Genomic DNA, 8,291 nt, shown 5'->3' with positions numbered 1-8,291 from the left:
ACTGTGTGCTTAAAAACACATACCACACACATACATACAAAACCCAGCCCTCGTTCTGAATGATAGAAAGGAATCAGAAATGAGGAACAAGGAAAGGAAATGAAAGGGAGGCTTTTAAAGGGGGATAAAGCCCTATCTTCCTCTCTCATCCCTCTCTAAAATCCAAACAACTCCCACAGATAAATACACTAAGTATTCAAAAGTGTCTTCGTTTTGACTAATTGAATTGCCGGGTTAGAAAAGAATCTTCAAAAAGGTTGGTGGAAGAAATTTAGAGTAAATTTTACCATTGCCCTGGGGTGCTGATCCCAAATAATCGCAACCCTTAATAGCCAAGCTGAGCTGGAGACTGCCTGATTATTTTTATCCTAACAAGAGACTCTGGCACTGCCAAGGAAATTGTCTCTCTGGGAGAGGATTGCTTCTGTGACTTGACCAGCAGCAGTAACAAGTTTTGGGGGCCCCCAGACGGGTGTGTAGAAACAGGTGACCATGAATACAGATGGGGGGAAAGGAGACAAAATGGACAGAAACCGAAGACTCCCAAGATAACACGTCATGGAAATAAACAAAAGTCTACAGAAATTAAATGAGGGATAAAAGACACAGACTCCTCTAATAAACTGATTTTGAAAGAAAATCATTTGAATTCTTTTCATGTTAAAAGTATAAACAAGGTAGACTCATATTCTTGAAAACTGAATTATATGACTTTTATTTTTAAATCCCTCATATATGTAAGGGAGAGGATAGCAATACATTAATTTCTCCTCAAAGTTCCAGTTTTTTATTGAGTTAAAAAAAATCAGAAAGGAATTTCATCAACAGTTAGATTTTTTTCCCTCTGTTTTTCTTTTTAGAGATGGAGCCTTGCTGTGTTGCCCAGGCTGGACTCAAACTTCTGGGCTTAAGCAACCCTCCTGCCTCAGCCTCCAGAGTATCTGGGACTACAGGCTGGAGTCACCATGCCCAGCTTAATTAATCAACATAATATAAATATTTGGGTAGATTATGGATCATTTTATCTTGTTTTTTATACTTTTTTGGGTGTTTTTCAAAATTTTTTTTTACAATAGGGATGTATCCATTTTATATAAAAAAAGTAGCATGCTATTAGTAAAGATCATGGATTACATTTGGAACTGGATGGGGGGATGGCTGTCTTCCCGCTGTTATATAAATTATGGACACCACAGAATTTAAGGTAGAAAGAACTTTGGATGATTATTTCTCCCTCTCATTTCAAAGGTGAGAGAACTGAGGAACCACTGAGGACCTTAGTTAAATCCAGGGTCACATCTCTAGCTGCCAAAGGATCAGAGTCTAGTGCTCAGTAGCCACCAGACACACATGGCTATGGAGCATTTGAAACGCACCTGGTCCTAACTGAGATGTGATGTAAGTGTAAAAGATACGTTGCATTTTGAAGAATCTTTTGCTCCATGTATGAGAAAATGTAAAATAACTCAGTAATTTCCATATTGATTACATGTTGAAATGATAGTATTTTGATACGCTGAGCTCAAATTAACTTAATCTGTTGCTCTTCATTCATTTTAGTGTGGCTACCAGAATATTTAAAATGACATATAGGGGCTGGGCATGGTGGCTCACACCTGTAATCCCAGCACTTTCGGAGGCTGAGGCAGGAGGATCACCTGAGGTCAGGAGTTCGAAACAAGCCTGGCCAACATGGTGAAAACCCATTTCTACTAAAAATACATGGTGGCACAGGTCAGTATTCCCAGCTACTCGGGAGGCTGAGGCGGGACAATTGCTTGAACCTGGGAAGCGGAGGTTGCACTGAGCCGAGATCGCACCATTGCACTCCAGCCTGGGCAACAAGAGCAAAACTTTGTCTCAAAAACAAAACAAAACGAGAAAACGTACAGGGCTCTCATTCTATTAGTTTGGTGCAAAAGTGTTTTTGCACCATTACTTTTCAAGGCAAAACCAGAATGACTTTTGCACCAAACTAACATTTATTTTGGACAACACTGGTGTAGAATACAGATCTGGATTCTCCGTCCAGTATTCTCTTCATATACTGCTTTGAAATGTAGAATGTCAAAAGGTAAGGAAAAATTTGCTTCCCCTTTTCTAGAATTAGGTAGTTAACCCAACTCAAAGCAACAATATCATTATTGATTTGATAATTTCTCATTTTGTTGAAGATGTGTAGTTTGTATCTGCTATAGCTAATAGAGATTTGTTTATTGCATAATCACATAGATATTCATGTCTAAGGTGTTTCCTTGCAGTTATTTTTGGATGTTAGGCATCATTACCACTAGTGATCAAGCAGTTTTCCTTGCCTCCCCCTCAGAAAAACTCAGAACAATGACAAAAACCATGGACTCTAAAATCAAACTTTGAGAAGTGCCAGAAATTACTTTTTTTTTTTTTTTTAAGATGGAGTCTCGCTCTGTCGCCCAGGCTGGAGTGCAGTGGTGCGATCTGGGCTCACTGCCACCTCCGCCTCCCGGGTTCAAGCAATTCTCCTGTCTCAGCCTCCCGAGTAGCTGGGACTACAGGTGCACGCTGCCACACCTGGCTAATTTTTTGTATTTTAGTAGAGACAGGGTTTCATCATGTTGCCCAGGCTGGTCTCGAACTCGTGAGTTCAGGCAATCCGCCCTCCTCGGCCTCCCAAAGTGCTAGGATCACAGACATGAGCCACCACGCCCGGCCACCAGAAATTACTTTTAAACAATACTGTGTAACTTTCCATGCAATTATGCAAACATTTCCTAAAGAAAGCAACTCTTCTCTTGCCAGATCTCTTCCCTTTTCACTCCCAGTCCCCTTACCCCCTTGCCGTTTAGCACAGTGGTAGCATGTGAGAACTTTTTTCTTTTTCCAAATCAGTTGACAGTGTGACTGATTTGGGAAATATTAATATAGATGTTCTTTTAAACATAACTGTATGCATTTCATCCTATTCTATAAATTATACTTCAGCTAGAAATTATTTTAGCATTTCGGGTTACATATCATTTAGGGAAGGCAGGCATTTATAGACACAGCCACAGAGAACAGATTGCTGGGTCACCCTGCCACCAAGAAGACATGTCCTGTGTCACATCCAAAGCTTCAGGCAGCTCAACATTGTGACTCTTTCTCTGACAAGCACTGTGTGTTAGGTCCATTGAGGAAGTGTTGGAGAGGGGGACAAATGAAGATGACCTTGACCACTGGGGAGCTAAAATCTGGTTAGAAAACTAGATTCATGGCCGGGCGTGGTGGCTCACGGCTGTAATCCCAGCAGTTTGGGAGGCCAAGGCGGGTGGATCATGAGGTCAGGAGTTCGAAACCAGTCTGGCCAACATAGAGAAACCCTGTCTCTACTAAAAATACACAAAAAATTAGCCAGATGTGGTGGTGTGTGCCTGTAATCCCAGCTACTCAGGAGGCTGAGGCAGGAGAATTGGGTGAACCCGGGAGGCGGAGGTTGCAGTGAGCCAAGATCGTGCCACTGCACTCCAGCCTGGGTGGCAGAATGAGACTCTGTCTCAAAAAAAGAAAAGAAAACTAGATTGAATCCCAAGCCATGTTGAAAGACTAGTGTAACTCAGCACTGAGTGATGTGGTTCTAGGTACAAGTGCTTTAGGGAAAGGAAAACTTAGAGTCCTGATCAGAGGAGTTTGAAGGATTGTAAGAATGAGCTTGGACTTGAGGCAGAGTCTGAAAAGATGGGTCAGGGTTATTATTTGAATGAAAAAGAGAAGCCAGGAGAAGACTCCAGGCAGTATGGGCAAAGGCAGAGAGGTGGAAACTGACAAATTACCTGAGCCCCCAAAGGAGGCCAATGGAAGAAAAGCATGAAAGCAAGTACCTTGTCTCTCTCTCTCTCTTTTTTTTTTTGAGACAAAGTTTTGCTCTTGTTGCCCAGGCTGGAGTGCAGTGGCGTGATCTTGGCTCACTGCAACCTCTGCCTCCTGGGTTCAAGCGATTCTCTTGCCTCAGCCTCTCAAGTAGCTGGGATTACAGGTGCCCACCACCATGCCCGACTAATTTTGTTTTTTGTATTTTTAGTAGAGACAGGGTTTCGCCATGTTGGCCAGGCTTGTCTTGAACTCCTGACCTCAGGTGATCCGACCTCCTTGGCCTCCCAAAGTGCTGGGATTACAGGTGTGAGCCACTTTGCCCGTCCTGTCTCTCTTATTTATTGCCATACTCCCTGTGCCTAGAACAGTGCCTGGTTCATCGGAGGTATCTGCTATTGGTTTTGTAAATGCATGGATATACTGCTACCTTTTAACAAGTACAGGAGGCACATAGAAAGGATTGTCTCAGGGCTGTTCTTTTTGGAGCAAAGGGAGACCGGGTGTGCTGCTGGAGTCCCAGCGATCAGCTCTGGGACACTAGGTGACAGATGCCAAGCACTTCTGGAGTTGGTGGCACACTGTGTCCAGAGTTGTTAGCCTGAGCTTTGAGTTGGTTTGGTGTTTTAGTCTATTTATGCTACTATTCAAAATACCAAGATTAGGTAATTTGTAAACAATAGAAATGTATTTCTTTCAGTTCTAGAGGCTGGGAAGTCCAAGACTGAGGCACCAACACTTGGTGTCTGGTGAGGGCTGGTCTCTGCCTTCAAGGTGGCCCCTTGTTGCTGCATCCTCCAAAGGAAATGGATGCTGTTCCCATCAGCCCTTTCAGAGAGTTGCTAATCCCATTCATGAAGGCAGAGAGGGAATATTCCACACAGTATTCCATCGTATGGAATCACCTCCTAAAAGCCCCACCTCTTAATATTGTGCATTGCGGATTTAAGTTTCAACATAAATTTTGGAGGGGACACAAACATTCAAACCATAGTGGGTGGTGATCTGGCCTGATTCAAAGGGTTGAAAAGGGAGGAGAGAGGCAAAGAAAATGAATTGAGATCTTATCCTCCCTTTCTACCCATATCAATAGGCTTTGGATGCTAGAAGTCTCTTTAATGTTTGTGATAATTCACAAGCCATTCAGAAGGAGAAGGAAAAGAATGTTACACTTACCGAGCATCTACTGTGTGTCAGGCATTTGCACTTGATATCATTTAATTCTCACAGAGATTAAATAAGGTAGCCATTTAAAAAATTGTAGTAAGAAGCAACATGAAATTTACCATCTTAACCATTTCTTTTTCTTTTTTTTTCTTTTCTTTTTTTTTTTGAGACAGAGTCTCACTCTGTCACCCAGGCTGGAGTGCAGTGGGACCATGTTGGCTCACTGCAACCTCCATCTCCTGGGTTCAAGCAATTCTCTGGCCTCAGCCTCCTGAGTAGCTGGGATTACAGGCACCCACTACCACGCCCGGCTAATTTTTAAAATATTTTTATTAGAGATGGGGTTTCACCATGTTGGCCAGGCTGGTCTCAAACTCCTGACCTCAGATGAGCCACCCACCTTGGCCTCCCAAAGTGCTGGGATTACAGGCATGAGCCACCACGCCTGCCTACTCATCTTAACCATTTCTAACGGTACAGTTCAGTAGTATTAAGTATATTCACATTATTGTGAAATAGATCTATGGAACTTTTTCATCTTCCCGAAATGAAACTCTTTTTGTTTTTTTTAACTTGTATTTTAGGTTCGGGGATACATAGGCAGTTTGTTATGGAGGTAAACTCACGTCATGGGTGTTTGTTGTACAGATTATTCATCATCCAGGTACTAGTCCCAATAGTTTTTTTAAAATTTTTTTCTGCTCCTCTCCCTCCTCTCACTCACCACCCTCAAGTAGACTCTAGTTTCTGTTGTGCCCTTCTTTGCATTCATGAGTTTTCATCATTTAGCTCCCACTTATAAATGAGAACATGTGATATTTGGTTTTCTGTTCCTGTATTAGTTTGCTAAGAATAATAGCTTCCAACTCTATCCATGTTCCTGCAAAAGACATGATCTTGTTCTTTTCTATGGCTGCACTCTTCCATAGAACAACAACCCAGGCTCCTCCCCCAGTTCCTGACAGCCACCATTCTACTTTCTCTCTATATAAATTTGACTACCCTAGGGACCTCACGTAAGTGAAATCATACAGTATTTGTCCTCAAAGTTTATTCATGTTGTAGCGTGTGACAGGGTTTCCTTCCTTTATTAAGGCAGAATAATATTTGATGGTATGGATATAGTGTGTTTTGTTGATCTATTCACCACCGATGGACACTTGGGTTGTTTCCACCTTTTGGCTGTTAGTGCTGCTGTTACGAACATAAATGGGTATGTAAGGACCTCTTCGAGACCCTACTTTCAATTCTTCTTTTTTTTTTTTTTTTTTTTTTTTTGATACAGAGTCTCACTCTGTCTCCCAGGCTGGAGTGCAATGGTGCGATCTCAGCTCACTGCAACCTCCGCCTCCCGGATTCAAGTGATCATCCTGCCTCAGCCTCCCAAGTAGCTGGGATTACAGGTGCCCGGCACCACACCTGGCTAATTTTTGTATTTTTTAGTAGAAATGAGGTTTCACCATGTTGGCCAGGCTGGTCTTGAACTCCTGACCTTGTGATCTGCCCGCCTTGGCCTCCCAAAGTGCTGGGATTACAGGTGTGAGCCACCACGCCCGGCCTCAATTCCTTTTTTTTTTTTTTTTGAGATGGGGTCTCACTGTGTCGCCCAGGCTGGAGTGCAGTGGCACGATCTCGGCTCACTACAAGCTCCACCTCCCGGGTTCACACCATTCTCCTGCCTCAGCTTCCCGAGTAGCTGGGACTACAGGCGCCCACCACCACGCCCGGCTAATTTTTTTTGTATTTTTAGTAGAGACAGGGTTTCACCGTGTTAGCCAGAATGGTCTCGATCTCCTGACCTCATGATCCTCCCGCCCCGGCCTCCCAAAGTGCTGGGATTACAAGCATGAGCCACCGTGCCTGGCCAATTCTTTTGGATATATAACCAGAAGTGGAATTGGTGGAGTAGGCAGGCATTTCTATCTCCACTTTATGAATGAAGAAACAGTGGTCCAGGGAACTCCTGTAACATGCCCACGGTCTGCAGAAGGCTGCAGAGTGAAGGCTCACCCTTGACTCTGGTCTTTGCCCATTTCCACCCCATTCTGAGGTCACAGCCTTAGCTGCATCATTTAAGGGTACACCTAGGTTTAACTTGGAAAATTGGGGATTACATTTATGCATACTTGTGGCAGCAGCTGATTTTGCAGTTTACATAATTGGAAATGGGAGAAGGTTTAGAATTCTGTTTTGTCCCAGGCTCAAGTTGCATTAAGTGGTTGACAACCATAAATTGGCTGAATTCTTTTCTGGACACCAGATTCCAACATTGTTCTGCATGTTGTTTTAGTTTTGTGTTAATTAAGTGTTAACAGAAGTCTGGGGTGTATTGTTTTGGAATTAGCTGACCAAGGACCCATTTATAGTTTTTTAACTTTGGGCACGTCAGTATTCAAAAGCAATTTTATTTTTTTTCAAAAGCAATTTTAACCTGAACTGTTCAACTGTTCTGTTTAACTATGAAGTTCTAATTTATGCCAATTATCACATTGCCAAATAGTTTTATAGTCATATTAAAATTTCAAGTGGAATTTGCTGAGTCTAATTTTGTAGTGGCTCTGAGATTAAGATGTGTGAGGAGAAAAAAGTGATTTTATTTGTTTCCTTTCTAACCCTAATTGTTCTGTACTGTCCCTGGGTTTCTGTTTGGTTTGTGTGGTGTTCATGGGGGAGGAAGCTGTGTGTGAAAGGAGAAGTCACGAGGAAGAGAAAGGAGGACGGGTAGGGCAGGTAAAAAAGGTCTGTAGAATGATCTTATATCCGACAGGATTGTTGAGACCATTTCAGCCCTTTGTTTTTTCTTTTTTTTTAAATTAATTAATTTTTTTTTAAACACTTTGTCGCCCAGGCTGGAGTGCAGTGGTGCGATCTTGGCTCACTGCAACGTCTACCTCCTGGGTTCAAGCAATTCTCCTGCCTCAACCTCCCAAGTAGCTGGGATTACAGGTGCCCGCCACCACAACCAGCACCCAGCTAGGTTTTTTTTGTTGTTGTTGAGATGGAGTCTTGCTCTGTTGCCCAGGCTGGAGTGTGGTGGCACGATCTTGGCTCACTGCAACCTCAACCTCCGCCTCCTGGGTTCAAGTGATTCTCCTGCATCAGCCTCCCAATTTAGCTGGTACGCACCACTATGCCCAGCTAACTTTTTGTATTTTTAGTAGAGATGGGGTTTCACCATGATGGCCAAGCTGGTTTCAAACTCCTGACCTCAAGTGATCCACCCGCCTCAGCCTCCCAAAGTGCTAGGATTATAGGCATAAGCCACTGCGCCCAGACTAATTTTTGTATTTTTATTACAG

General features: G+C 43.0%; 1 annotated feature.

The window, feature by feature from the left end:
- Positions 3,773–4,010: a silencer, noted in NCBI's record as "fragment chr6:15013597-15013834 (GRCh37/hg19 assembly coordinates)". NCBI's record gives its function as "represses an EF-1alpha promoter that drives an FKBP-Casp9 reporter gene in an ReSE screen in HepG2 liver carcinoma cells {active_cell/tissue: HepG2}" and the evidence as "EXISTENCE:reporter gene assay evidence [ECO:0000049][PMID:32094911]".

This window comes from Homo sapiens, chromosome 6 (assembly GCF_000001405.40).
Source record: "Homo sapiens chromosome 6, GRCh38.p14 Primary Assembly".
NCBI lineage: Eukaryota > Metazoa > Chordata > Mammalia > Primates > Hominidae > Homo > Homo sapiens.
Note: the sequence above shows the minus strand (reverse complement) of the source record. Positions and strands in the feature narration are given on the sequence as shown.